Source organism: Homo sapiens, chromosome 15 (assembly GCF_000001405.40).
Source record: "Homo sapiens chromosome 15, GRCh38.p14 Primary Assembly".
Lineage (NCBI taxonomy): Eukaryota > Metazoa > Chordata > Mammalia > Primates > Hominidae > Homo > Homo sapiens.
Window position 1 is genome coordinate 72,754,461 of NC_000015.10, and position 15,261 is coordinate 72,769,721.

At 42.6% G+C, this 15,261-nt stretch overlaps 1 protein-coding gene across 11 annotated transcripts in view; it reads right to left on the reverse strand.

Moving 5' to 3' along the window:
* ADPGK (ADP dependent glucokinase) overlaps nucleotides 1-15,261 on the reverse strand; it is a 32,465-nt gene that overhangs the window by 3,167 nt on the left and 14,037 nt on the right. For 8 of the 11 annotated variants that reach the window (NM_001365224.1, NM_031284.5, NM_001365225.1 and 5 more), the window contains 3 exons: nucleotides 5,947-6,067; nucleotides 1,791-1,987; nucleotides 1,096-1,194 (listed from right to left, as the gene is read on the reverse strand). The exons of 2 other annotated variants lie outside the window; for them this stretch is intronic. In NM_001365224.1, the coding sequence (NP_001352153.1) occupies nucleotides 1,096-1,194; nucleotides 1,791-1,913 (222 nt within the window). In that variant the 5' untranslated portion in view covers nucleotides 1,914-1,987; nucleotides 5,947-6,067. Of the gene's footprint in view, nucleotides 1-1,095; nucleotides 1,195-1,790; nucleotides 1,988-3,604; nucleotides 3,830-5,946; nucleotides 6,068-15,261 lie in introns of those variants that run through there. One more of the 11 variants, XM_017022664.3, reaches the window with a different exon arrangement.

The window sequence follows — 15,261 nt, forward strand, 5'->3', positions numbered from 1 at the left end:
ATTCTTATGGAGGGCAATCTGGCAATCTCAAAATTACAAGTGCTTTTTTATGCTCCAGTCCAGCTGTTCTACTTCTGAGACTTTCTCCTAAATATGGACTTGTTCACAGGCAAAACAAAATCATGTATCAAGTTGTTCACTGCAGCACTGTGTGTAACAGCAAAGGGCAGTAAATAACCAATATGTCCATCCAGAAGGTTCAGGTTAAGTAAACGGAGGTACATCTACACATTCATTTTAACCATATGGCTATGAAAAGACAGAGGATACTCTCCATGTTAGTGATGCAGGAAGATCTCCAAGATATATTTAGTGAAAAAAAGAGCAAAGTGAAGAACAGAGTATTCAGTAGGCTATGCTATCTTTTTGGGTAAAAAGGGATGGAAAACAAAATCAGGATATATTTCTGTATTTTCTTATACTTGTACAAAAGAACTCTGGAAATAAACTGATGAAGGGTGCAAGTAGGGAAGGGGAGGAAGTAGAAGGGAGACTTCATTGTATATCTTTTCATAGTTTTTGGGTATTTTTTAACCAAATGAATATATTACCAATTAAAATTAGGTAACACTAGATTGCCAGGTGAGGTAACTTGCCTGAGTTCATGAAGCCCGTGAGTGCAAGGCTGGCATGCGAACCCAGGTCTCCAGAGCTTGTGTTCTGAAGCTTCACCTGCTCAGATTTATACTAGTCAATGCTGCTGCCCAGAGGCAGGCACTGAACACCCAGATGCCTGAGGAAGGAGGGAGGTTCCCTCAAAGTTTCTTTGCTTTGAGCTTCTTGAAGTTCAACTGAAAGCAGCTGAGCTGGGCTTTCAGTTTTTTCCATTCACTTTCAACTTTTCCATTCCAGAGGAGAAATATGATCAACAATCTGTCAGTTACACTGCCATAACTTTAACCTAGTAGGAGATACTGCTGTTTCAGAACAGTCCTGGATCCTTATTTGGATCTCCATGGACTTGGGTCTGAGTGACACAAACCTACATGTCAGTGAGCCAGTCCCTGAGCCCAAACAGATGGTCCCACTGCACAAAAAAGCTTCTCTGCAAGGCTCTATGAGGATCAGGGCCAAACGATGGTCCCATGAGGTTACCTGATGGACAATGCTGCTCATGAGCTCCCTGTTAGTCATACTGGCCAGCTCTAGGTGAACTGGAATACCAGTGGGGATGTCAGAAATGGAGGTTACAACCTGCAAAGAGAAGAAGATAAGCACTGCCATTAGAAATAGAAGGAAGTCAAGAAAGAGGGAAGAAAAGATCAGATCCTGAGAGGCGGTTCCTCCTGGTAATGGCCTTCTTTGCATGCTCACGGGAGCTACAAGCAATGTGGGTCCCCACCACCTCTGTGGACAAGGGACACTCTTCCCACCAGGGAAGACTAGGCTGTGCAGAGCCATCAGGGATACAGAATCAGAGATGGCAGTTCACTTCGACTGCTGTACGAATCTGTAGGAGTTGCAGCATAGCTGATGTGAAGTGAGATGATACAAATAACACAAAGGACACAAACTACAAACCCTGCAGCTTGCAGCCATGGTCGGTTTAGCACAGGATGCAGAGGCTCAGGCAAGAAGATGTTCTGCCCTGTCCTACTCAAGCTGCTGCCCACATCTGAAGGGATACAGTGAGGTGCCTCACTGCAGCAGGAGGCAAGCTCCACAGCCAGCTGCCAAGATATGTCCCTGGGAGGCCAGGACCTAAGACAAGGCAGCAGATGCCAAGAGAGGCTGGAACCTGAAGAAAACCACCAGCTGAGATCTGTGAAATTCTGTAACAGTGCCATTACCTCCAAGAGTCTCTTCCTCTGGAGCTCCTTGCTTTGTCCCTCCATCATGTGCAATCCAGAGAGGACCACCAGGTCTGGCTGAAACTCCTCCAGGCTAGACACAAACACCTCCAGCATATTCATGGCCCCGTTGGAGAGGTCGTGAGAGAAGATGAATCGGTTGGCATGGGGAGCTTTTAACTGGCCCCACTCCTCCCCTGGAAAAACCCAGTCAACACAATGGGAAGAAAAGGAAGAGGCTTTAGGTCTCCTAGCTGTGGGGGCACTTTCAGGCACCTCACAGGAGCCTTGGCTCCAAGCAGGCTGGTTTCTGGCTGAGGAGACCCCAGCAACAATGGCCTAAGGTCAGCATGGCACTGCAAGAAACAAACCAAAAACCTAAACCCAAACCCAGCCAAGAAACAGAAACATAGTATGGGTGCTATATGCCTTTTTCAAGGTAATTAGCTCCCCCTGAGTCCCAGGAGAGCCCTACTTGAGCTCTCAAACACAGGAGAGACAGTACAGAATGGCAGCATGACTTCCAAATACCAGCATACAGTGTGCAGCACGCACGCCCTGCAGACAGTATAGGCTGTCATTGTTTAAAGCACATTCTTCCTCACAGCATTGCCCTGAGCATCTTTCATTCAGTTGGAACTTAAGCAGGCTGAATTTCTTCCCAACAGCCAAGCTCACTGCATCTCCTCTTCCCTGCTGCCCATCAGTGGTTTCTGGGCACCTGATCCAAAGGATCAGACTATCTAGCTGCTCCAGTTGCTTCTATGTGAGTTGCTTTAGAGGAATGACTGTTTAAAGACCCAAGTTCAAGTGCTAGTTCCTCCCTAAACATGAAGCCTTTCCTAATCCTACCACCCCTAAGCAGACTTGATTACCTCCTTTCTGGGGCCACCACTGTACCCTAATACAGGACTGAGGCACATGATTTTGCAATTCCTTTTTCTTTTTTCCTTTTTTTTTTTTTTTTTTCTTCTGAGATGGAGTTTCACTCTGTTGCCCAGGTTGGAGCGCAATGGCGCGACCTCAGCTCACTGCAACCTCTGCCTCCCAGGTTCAAGCGATTCTCCTGCCTCAGCCTCCCGAGTAGCTGGGATTACAGGTACCCGCCACCACGCCTGGCTAATTTTTGTATTTTCAGTAGAGACGGAGTTTCACCATGTTGGCCAGGCTGGTCTTAAACTCCTGACCTCAGGTGATCTGCCTGCCTTAGCCTCCCAAAGTGCTGGGATTACAGGCGTGAGCCACCATGCCCGGCCTGCAATTACTTTTTCCAAGTGTCTATCTCTGGCAGTAAACTGTGAGCTGAGGGCAGGGCCTGTGTCATCCTCTGTCGTATTCCTTCTGCATCATGCTGTGTCTGGCATATAGCCATGGGAATGAATTAACAAAAGAACAAGCAAATAAGAGAACAGACTGATGACCTAAATGCCCATGACAACAAAAAATATGGGTATGAACCCCAAATCCAACATTTTGCAAATCAACAAAGACTCTGTACGATGGGAAAAATACATTACATTGACATTCTCCAGAGAGCAAGACGTGGACTCAACCCTTGAATAGTGACACTGCTAGGAAACACGACCTAACTGAACCTAGGAGAAAGGAGCCACACTGTATTGAAAATACACTGATTTCTTCAGGAAGTGACAGAGGCAAAAATAAACAGGCTCTTCTGCAAGGCAAGGATGAGAAGAACCGTGCAGAGCTGCTTGCTGTTTCCACAGGAAACAAGGCAGCAGATGCCAAGAGAGGCTGGAACCTGAAGAAAACCACCAGCTGAGATCTGTGAAATTCTGTAACAGTGCCATTACCTCCAAGAGTCTCTTCCTCTGGAGCTCCTTGCTTTGTCCCTCCATCATGTGCAATCCAGAAAGGACCACCAGGTCTGGCTGAAACTCCTCCAGGCTAGACACAAACACCTCCAGCATATTCATGGCCCCGTTGGAGAGGCCATGCAGGGGGCAGATGCAAATGGATCTAATTCTGCCTGTAATGGTAGTTAGCGCCCCTCTTTCCTCACAAAGTGTTGTATTCATTCCTGTAAGCAATCTCTTCTCAATGTATCATCCTGCCCTCAGCCAGTAAGTCAGCAAAACCTCTGCGTAGTGACTCACTGGATTCCCAGCCCAAGCCTGACAATGGGCTTCTCTGGGGAGATCTGGTAAGAGAGAATGTGGAAAAAAAAATGGACAAATCCCTTGGAATTTCCCTATTGAGGTCAGAGACAAGCTGGGAATGGATTTCTGTTGAGAGAGCTGAGCCCAGGGCTACTGCCACTAGACTAGGCTCCCTCCTTGGACCTAGGAAAATGTCACCTCACAAAGTTTAATGGAAGTCCACTGCTTTGTATGCAGAAGAGGCATAGGAAAGAAAAACTGAAGTGTGAAGCTTATAAACCCAAGGATGGAGACACTCTCTTTGTGCGGTGAACTGTGCTGTCTCCTTAACTACATACGAGGCACAGCTGTCCAATACAACATCAAAGTCTTGCTGAAGACGTAAGACTCTCCACTCTGTAGTCACCAGGAAAAATGACAAACCAGGAATCACAAAGGTCCCCAGTTCCTGCTGTGGGTGCCAAAAAAACTGACACGAATCTGGAACTCATGGCAGCAATACCTCAGGGGCTCATCTTTAGCAATTCCAGACCCTTCCAGTCCACAGTCAGGTCATTCTTTTATTTATTTATTATTATTATTTTTTGAGACGGAGTCTCGCTCTGTTGCCCAGACTGGAGTGCAGTGGTGCAATCTCAGTTCACTGCAACCTCCGCCTCCCAGGCTCAAGCAATTCTCTGCCTCAGCCTACTGAGTAGCTGGGATTATAGGCGCCCGCCTCCACACCTGGCTAATTTTTGTATTTTTAGTAGAGACGGGGTTTCACCATCTTGGCCAGGCTGGTCTTGAACTCCTGACCTTGTGATCCACCCGCTTCAGCCTCACAAAGTTCTGGGATTACAGGCATGAGCCACCACGTGCGGCCAGGTCATCTTTTCATCCAAGCTGCTCACAATGTTTCCGCACACCAACCAATCTCTTAATCCTTACCACAATGATCAGGCAGTAAAAACTATTACTCTTACTTCCCATTTGGGAAAACTAAAGCTGAGAAACTCAAAAACTTGTGTAGCATTAAGTATGAATTGCCTACGTCAACGCTGTGTCCCTAATTTTCAGACCCTATCCTTCTTTAATTCCCAACTGATTCTAGTAAGCACCCGAAAGAGAACCAGAACATGTTACAACTCTTTTTTCTACCTGGAGAAAGGCATAATTCTCAAGAAATAACATAGTTCATATCTTATGTTAAAGTTAATTACTCTAGTAGAGAAGATTCTCTTAATTGACTTGGAAGTAGTTCACTGAAGAGTATTAAGTGCTGCTTTAAGGTACCAATTAGTCTGTTTAGATGCTTGAGTCTTTAATGTGTATTAACAATGTGTTGAATCAGAAACTCAAGAGTCTGAGTTCTGAGCAGAGGGAAAATTACAGCAGGAAATACACAGGATCAAAGTATGTCCAAGTATTTAATATTCTCTCAGAAACCAGATGCCTAATCTACGTAACATATAAAATCTGCTGGGAAGAGGGGATGGGATGCAGTGGATGTGGATTTATTAACATTAGAACATCTGATGGGAAACAATATAGTGATGTTAAATACAAAACACTTCCATTCACACACCCAAGGAAAAATAAAATGCTCCAGAGAAACTTGCCAGAAGCTTGGAATCAACCCCAAGCAGCTTGGAAGAGTCAGTCAGAAAGGCCTAGGGCAGAATCCAGCACAGAGTTGAATGGATGCTACCTGCCTTTCTCTTGTCTTAGTCATAAAGGAAAACTTTATATATGTGTGTTTAACACGTTTTCACTTTTATTTGAGATGCTTGCTTTCCTATGACCTGATTTATCTTGGGTTCGGAGCAATTCTGCTTGTAGACCTGGGAATTTTCTTCCATGTTATAATACTCAGTCTCCCTTGAGACAACGGCCAGTATCAGCTCAGTAGAACCAATAGGTCAGGAAACTTTCAGTATGGCAAAAACAGGATCCTGCTAATTTACAAAGATAAATTTCCGGCACAGTCACACCCCAATCTGACAATACACAGCCCCTTGACTGGTCTTGCCACCATTACTTACTCATTTCCTTACCTGCTTGATACTCTAAAATGAGGTGGAACTCATCCACTTCCTGCAATGACTCTGGTGGAACAAAGACATTGTCATCAAGAAGCTCATGTAGCTTTGGACCAACTGGACCGCAAAGAAGAACCTGGAGGCAAGCAACACGAAGTCCATCAGGAGCCCCGTTCCTTTCCCCACAGAACCTCAACAGCACCCCAGGACAGTACATTCAGGCTGATTCTAATCATTTCAACAAAATATTGGAATCCAAATCTAATTTTGAAAGCTGTTGGTCTGGAGGTGTGCGGCAGAAGGCATGTCACCAGGGCTAAGGCCTCTGGAGGGTATGGCCATAATGTACCCAGAACTGAGAGGCTGACAAAAGAACTGTGTCACAGCCGTCAGGCACCTATGCAGCTGCTACATCTCATTCCCTCTGCTGCGGACTGCACGTTTGTGTCACCTCCCCAAATTTAGATGGTGAAGCCCAAACCCCCATGTGGCTTATTTGGAGATAGGGCTTTTGGAAGGTAATTAATATGAAATGAGGTCATAAGGGTGAGGTGAGGTCCTAATCAGATAGAACTGGTGGCCTTATAAGAAAAGAGAGAGAGATCAATCTCTCTCCCCCCACCGCATGCACCAAGGACAGGACATGTGGGAACACATTGAGAAGGTGGCCACCTGCAAGCCAGGAAGAGACTTCTCACCAGAAGCCACACCTTGCTGGAACCTTGTTCTGGGGCTTTCCAGTCTCCACTGTGAGAAAATAAACTTCTGTTGCTTGAGCCCCCAAGTCTATGGTATTGTGCTACTATGGCAGCCAAAGCAGACCCTACCCCCACTTTCTTTACTCACTCACACCTTGTGCAGGCAAACAGACATGGGATGTTGTCTGCAACAAAGCTGCCAGATGAAAACTGTTTGAGTTTTTATACAGTATAAAAAAAGTTTCTGGATCACCATATCCTCAACCGGGTGACCTCATTTGTGGAATAAAATTCTCTCCCATTACTGAACTGTTAAGTGAATAGGACAGCCTTTCCAATATGAGAATTAAAGAGCATCCCAACTGAGAGACTTCAGGGGAAGGTGCTCTGCAACTTTTCCAAAACCTTTTTCTTCAACTCCAACCAGAGCCTCCCTCTGGCTATTCTTTCTAGAAGCCATTTCGTATCTGTTCCTGCTCCTCAACTCCAATAAACCGCTGTTTTTGACACAACATTCAAGGCCAGGCTAGCAGATTCAAAACCACTGAACAATGAGGACGGCACTGAGATTTAAAGGAAAGTCCACAGAGATTATCAGCACTGCTTCATGATTTTTTTTTTTTTTTTGAGACAGAGTTTTGCTCTGTTGCCCAGGCTGGAGTGCAGTGGTGCAATCATAGCTCACCACAGCCTTGACCTCCCAGGCTCAAGCGACCCTCCTGCCTCAGCCTCCCGAGTAGCTGGGACTACAGGCATAAGCCACACCACCTGGCTAATTTTTTATTTATTTTTAATTTTTTTGAGACAGAGTCTCACTCCGTCACCAGGCTGGAGTGCAGTGGCACAATCTCGGCTCACTGCAATCTCCACTTCCCAGGTTCAATCAATTCTCCTGCCTCAGCCTCCCAAGTAGCTGGGATTACAGGCGCGTGCCACCAGGCCCAGCTAATTTTTCTATTTTTAGTAGAGACGGGGTTTCACCATGTTGGTCAGGCTGGTCTCAATCTCGTGACCTCGTGATCCACCCGCCTTGGCCTCCCAAAGTGCTGGGATTACAGGCATGAGCCACCGCGCCTGGCCTAATTTTTTATTTTTATTTTTAATAGAGACAAGACCTCACTATGTTGCCCAGGCTAGTCTCGAACTCCTGAGCTCAAGAGATCCTCCCAACTCAGCCTCCCAACTTGCTAGGATTACAGGCATGAGCTAACATACTCGGTCTGTTTCAGATTTAGTATGTCCCACCCAGAAGCTTCAAAAGGCATTAACTTGCTAATTAACTGCTTATATAGACTGCTTTGTACAGAGGTACTTTCGTGTTATTTAAGAAATCCCACCTTCTGGATAAAAACATACTCCTCTCCCTTTTCTGCCTTGACACATGCCCATTACAGGCCAATTCTGAAAAAGTCTTGCCCCAACCACTTTACTTCCTTTCTCTAATTCTTGGCTAGTGCTTCACTTCCAAGATGAGACAACAAGGGCCATAGGCCATATTTACCCTCCTGCCTGAAACAACAAAAAAGACAAAATATATGAAACAATGGTTTTCAAAACATTGTGTGAACATCAGACAATAAAGGACGATCCCTAAAAAACAGGACTAAACTGGCCAGGTGTGGTGGCTCATGCCTGTAATCCCAGCACTTTGGGAGGCTGAGACAGGCAGATCACCTGAGGTCAGGAGTTCGAGACCAGCCTGGCCAACATGGTGAAACCCTATCTCTACCAAAAATACAAAAAATTTAGCTAGGCGTGGTGGCACACACCTGTAATCCCAGCTACTCAGGAGGCTGAGGCAGGAGAATCACTTGAACCTGGGAGGTGGAGAGCCAAGATCATGCCACTGCACTCTGGCATGGGCGACAAAGTGAGATTCTGTCTCCAAAAAAAAGGAAACAGGAATAAACTTAGTAAGCCCTACAAATGTCTTAGCATATTACTGTAAAAGAATTTCCAGGTATACGGAACCTGAAAGAATTTATCACCAGCAGACTCGCACCACAAGCAATGTTAAAAGAAGTCCTTCTGGCAGAAGGGAGAATGACATGAGATGGAAATATGTTTTTATATTTTTTTGAGACAAGAGTTTTGCTCTGTGGCTCAGGCTGGAGTGCAGTGGCGTGATCTTGGCTCACTGTAACCTCCACCTCCTGCGTTTAAGTGATTCTCCTGCCTCAGACTCCCAAGTAGCTGGGATTATGGACACACACCACCACACTCGGCTAATTTTTTTTTTTTTTTTTTTTTGTATTTTTAGTAGAGATGGGGTTTCACCATGTTGGCTGAAACAACCTGACCACGCCAGGCTGGTCTCAAACTCCTGACCTCAAATGATCTGCCCGTCTTGGCCTTCCAAAGTGCCGGATTACAGGCGTGAGCCACCATACCCAGCCAAAAATATGGATCTAAACAAAGAAATGAAGAACAACAGAAATGGTAATGCTAGATAAGTACATAAGATTATTTTTCTTATTATTTAAATCTCTTTAAGAGATAACTGAAGAGAAGTACTAACAAATTTAATGTGAGGTTTGTAACATGAGGAAGTCAAATATCTCATAATAATAGTATAAAGATTGGAGGGAGAGAAGTACAGGCCTACCTCATTTTATTGTGCTTCACTTTACTGTGCTCTGCAGATACTGCAGTTTTTACAAATTGACAGTTTGTGGCAACCCTGTGGTCCCCTATGGGCACCATTTTTCCAACAGCATGTGCTCACTTCGTGTCTCTGTCACATTTTGGTAGTTCTCACATTTCAAAGGTTTTCATTATTATGTCTGTTATGGTGATCAGTGATCTTTGATGCTACTATTATAACTGTTTTGGGACACCACAGATCATTCCCACATAAGACAGTGAACTTAATCAATAAATATTTTATGTGTTCTGACCACTCCATGGACTGGCTGTTCCCATCTCTCGCCCTCTCCTTGGGCCTCACTAATTTCCTGAGACATAACAATATTGAAATTAGGCCAGTTAATAACCCTACAATGGCCTCTATGTGTTCAAGTGAATGGAAGAATCACACATCTCTAACTTTAAATCAAAAGCTAGAAATGATTAAGCTTAGCGACGAAGGCATGTAGAAAGCTGAGTAAAGCCTCTTATGCTGTTAGCCAAGTTGTGAATGCAAAAAGTCCTTGAAGGAAATTAAAAGTGCTACTCTAGTGAACATACGAATGTAAGAAAGCAAAACAAAACAGAAACAAAAAACAGCAACAAAAGGAAAGCAAAACAGCCTTATTGCTGATATGGAGAAAGTCTGAATGGTCTGGATAGCAGATCAAACAAGCTACAACATTCCCTTAAGCCAAAGCCTAATCCAGAGCAATGTCCTAACTCGCTCCAATTCTATGAAGGCTGAGAGAGGTGAGGAAGCTGCAAAAGAAAAGTCAGAAGCTAGCAGAGGTTGGTTCATGAGGTTTAAGGAAAGAAGCTGTCTCCACAACATAAAAATGCAAGGTGAGGCAGCAAGTGCTGATGTAGAAGCTGCAGCAAGTTATCCAAAAGATCTAGCTAAGATCACTGATGAACATGGCTACACTAAACAACAGGTTCGATGTATACAAAACAGCCTTCTGTTGGAGGGTAATGCTGAAGAAGTACGTAAAATTATTGTAAGAAGATGCCATCTAGGACTTTCAGAGCTAGAGAGTAGAAGTCAATGCCTACCTTCAAAGCTTCAAAGAACAAACTGACTCTCTTTTTGGGGCTAACACAGCTGGTGACTAAGTTGAAGCCAATGCTCACTGACCATTCTGAAAAATCCTAGGATTCTTAAGTATGATGCTAAATCTACTCTGCCTGTGTTCTATATATATAACAAAGCCTGAATGACAGCATACCTATTTACAGTTTAATAGGTATTTTAAGCCCACTGTTCAGAACTACTGCTCAGAAAAAAAAAAAAAAAAATGTTTGAAGTATCACTGCTCATTGACAGTATACCTAGTCGCCCAAGAGCTCTGATGGAAATGTATAAGGAGAAGGATGATGTTTTCACACCTGCTAATGCAACATCCATTCTGCAACCCATAAATTAAGAAGTTATTTTGACTTTTTTTTTGAGACAGTCTGGCTCTGTCGCCCAGGCTGGAGTATAGTGAGTGGCACGATCTCAGCCCACTGCAATCTCCACCTCCTGGGTTCAAGTGATTCTTGTGCCTGAGCCTCCTGAGTAGCTGGGATTACAGGTGTGCACCACCACACCTGGCTAGTTTTTGTATTTTTAGTAGAGACGGGGTTTTAACCACATTGGCCAGACTGGTCTCAAACTCCCAGCCTCAAGTGATCTGCCCACCTCGGCCTCCCAAAGTGCTGGGATTACAGGCGTGAGCCACTGCACCTGGCTGGAATTTTGTCAAGTCTATTATTTAAGAAATACATTTCATAAGGCTATAGCTGCCATAGATAATAACTCCTCTGATGGATCTGGGCAAAGTAAACTGAAAACTTCTGGAAAGAATTTACCATTCTAAATGCCATTAAGAACATTTATGATTTATAGGAGGAAGTCAGCATATCAACATTAACAGGAGTTTCAAAGAGATTGATTCTAACCCTCTTGGACGCCTTTTGAGATTCAAGACTTCAGTAAACTGCAGTAACTGCAGATGTGGTGAAAACAGCCAGAGAACTAGAATTAGAAGTGGGGCCTGAAGATGTGACTGAATTATTGTATTCTTCATGATAAAACTTGAATGGATAAAGAGTTGCTTCTTATGGATGAACAAAGAAAGTGGCTGAGATGGAATCTACTTCTAGTAAAGATGTTATGAATATTGTTGAAATGACAACAAAAGATTTAGAGTATTACATACACTTAGTTGATAATGACAAATAGCAGGAAGGTTTGAGAGGACTGACTCCAATTTTTAGAAGTTTTTTAATTTTTCATTTTTAGAGATAGGAATTTGCTCTATCACCCAAGCTAGAGTGCAGTGGCACAATCATAGCTCACAGTACAGTAGCCTCAAACTCCTAGGCTTAAGAGATCTTCCTGCCTCAGCTTCCCAAGCAGCTGAGACTATAAGCATGCGCCACCATGCCTAGCTAATTAAAAAAAATTTTTTTTTAGAGATGGGGTCTCGCTATGTTGCCCAGGCTCAAGTGATCCTCCTGCCTCATTTTCCCAAAATGCTGGAATTACAGGTGTGAGCCACTGTACCTGGCCTGATTCCAATTTTGAATGAAGTTCCACTGTGGGTAAAATGCTATCAAACAGCATCACATGCTACAGAGAAATCTTTTGTGAAAGGAAGAGTTAACTGATGTGGCAAACTTCATTGTTGTTTTAAGAAATTGCCACAGCCACCCCAAGCTTCAGCCACCACCCTGATCAGCCAGCAGCCATCAACATCAAGGCAAAACACTCTGCCAGCAAAAAGATTATGACCGTCTGAAAGCTCAGATGATTGTTAACATTTTTTGGCAACCAAGCACTCTAAAATTGTGTACACTTTTTTTCAGACATAATGGTACTGCACACTTACTTGACGATAGTACGGTGTAAACATACCTTTTAATGCACTGGGAAACAAAATTCATGCGTTTTATTTTATTGCAGTATTTGTTTTATTGCAGTCGTCTAGAACCAAACATGCAGTATCTCTGAGGTATGCCTGTTATCACTTGAAAGTAGACCGTGATAAGCTAAAGATGTACAGTATAAACCCTAATGCAACCACTAAGAAAAAAAGAATTATACCTAATAAAGTCAGAGAAGATAAAATGAAATCATAGAAAATAATCCAAAAGAGTACAGAAAAAGAGGGACAAAGATAGAGATGGGGCAAACAGCAAACAAATAGCAAGATGTTAGATTTAAACCTAACCTGATATATCAATAATCACATTAGATGTAAATGGTCTAAACACTCCGATTAAAAGGCAGAGATTGTCAAAGTGGATTAAAAAGCAAGCCCCAACTATACGCTGTCTATAAAAAATACACTTTAAGGTAAAAAGATGCAAATAGATTAAAAGCACAAGGACAGAAAAAGATATACCATGCCAATACTAATCAAATGAAAGCTGGAATGGCTATTTCAATCAAAATAGATTTCAGAGCAAAGAATATTATGAAATGATTTTATTTATCCCTAGTAATGATAAAGGAATTAATTCATTAAAGGGATGTAACAATCCTAAACATTTATGTACCTAATAAGAGTTTCAAAATACATAAAGCAAAAAGTTACAGAACTATAAAGGAAATAGACAAGTATCCAAAATTACAGTTGGAGACGTCAACATACCTCTTAATAACTGACAGATCAAATAGACAAAAAAAAAAAAACCAATAAGAATATAGAAGACTTGAACAACACTATCAATCAACTTCATCTAATTGACATTTACAGAACACTCGACCCAACAACAGAAAGGCTTATGTATATTCTTGAAGCTTTCAAGTACACACAGAACCTCACCAAGATAGAATATTCTGCACCATGAAAAAGGTCTCAAAAACTTAGTAGGATTCAGGTCATAGAAAGCATATTTTCTGACCATACTGGAATTGAAATAGAAATCAGTAACAGAAAGACATCTGGAAAATCCCCAAATATTTAGGAACTAAATAACATACCTCTAAGTAGTCCATGAATGGGCTATTAAATGGCACATCTCAATAAATCAAAGGGATATTAGTATTTTGAAATGAATGAAAATAAAAATAATCCATCAAAATCTTTGGGATGCAGCTAAAGCAGTACTTAAGGGGAAATTTATAGCACTAAACCCCTATATGAGAAAACAGGAAAGGTCTCAAATCAATGATTGTAGCTTCTCACCTTAAGAAACTAGAAAAAGAGCAAGTCAAATCTGAAGCAAGCAAAATCCAATGAAAATAGAAAAACAGAGAAAAATAAATTCACCAAAAGCTAATTACTTATTAAAAAGAGCAATAAAATTTATAAACCTCTAGCCAAGCTGATCAGGAAAAAAAAGAAGATACAAATGACCAATATCAGGAATGAGAAGGAAAACATCATTACAAATTGTAGAGATCTTAAAGGAATAATAGAATACCATAATTAACTTTATGCCAATAAATCCAACAACTTAGATGAAACAAATTCCTTGAAAGATACAAACTACTAAAGCTCATTTAAAAAAAAAAAAGGAAAATCTGGATTTCCCTATATCTATTAAAGAAATCAGTTATTTAAAATCTTCCTACAGAGAAAACCCTGGGCCTAGAAGGCTTCACTAGAAGGCTTAAATTCTATAAACATTTAAGGAAGATACAATACCAATGCGACACTCACTCTGTTTTAAAAATTGAAGAAAGGGCCAGGTGTATTGGATGAATCCAAGCACTATGGAAGGCTGAGGCAGGTGGATTACTTGCAATCAGAAGTTGGAGACCAGCCTGGCCAACACAGTGAAACTCCCTCTCTACTAAAAAATACAAAAATTAGCTGGGCATGGTGGCACACACCTGTAGTCCCAGCTACTCGGGAGGCTGAGGCATGAGAATCACTTGAACCTGAGAGACGGACATTGCAGTGAGCTGAGATCGCCACCACTGCACTCCAGTCTGGGCAGAGCGAGACTCCATCTTAAGAAAAAAAAAAAATTGAAGAGAAGATAGGTGTGGTGGCTCACACCTGTAATCCCAGCACTTTGGGAGGCTAAGGCAGGCGGATCGCTTGAGGTCGGGAGTTGAGACTAGCCTGGCAACATGGTGAAACCTCAAGTCTACAAAAAATACAAAATAATTAGCTGGCTGTGGTGACGTGTCTGCAATCCTAAATACTCAGGAACTCGGCTGAGGTGGGAGGATGGCTTGAGCCCAGGAGGCAGAGGTTGCAGTGAGCCGAGATCATGCCACTGCACTCCAGCCTGGATGACAAGGCCAGATCCTGTCTCTCAAAAAAAAAAAAAAAATTGAAGAGGGGGAAACACTTTCCAACTTATTCTACAAGGCCAGTATTGCCCTGACAGCAAAACCACAGACATTACAAGAAAAGAAAAATACAGACCAATATTATTCTTGGGCATTGATGTAAAAATTTTAAACACAATTTTAGTAAACTGAATATGTGAAAAGGATAATGAATACATCAGAACAAAGTAAGCTTTATCCTAGAGATGCAAGGTTGGTTTAATATGTGAAAGTCAATATAATTACCATATATCAAACTAAAAAACAAAAAACCACACAATAACCTCAGTAAATGCAGAATTTGACAAAAGCATTTGACAAAATAAAATAACTATTCCTAATTCTTGCCTAATTCCACAAGTATATATTTTTTTGAGATGGAGTCTTGCTCTGTCGCCCAGGCTGGAGTGCAGTGGCGCAATCTCGGCTCACTGCAACCTCCGCCTCCCGGGTTCGAGCGATTCTCCTGCCTCAGCCTCCTGAGTAGTTGGGACTACAAGCGCCTGCCACCATGCCCAGCTAATTCTTTGTATTTTTAGCTAAGACAGGGTTTCACCATGTTGGCCAGGCTGGTCTTGAACTCCTGACCTCAGGTAATCCGCCTGCCTCGGCCTCCCAAAGTGCTGGGATTACACAAGTATATTTTTTAAAGGCACGGTTCCTCTCCTGAAATTTGGCTTCTATTCTATCATTCCACTAAACCTGCCTTTACTATATTCACCAGCGTCTATT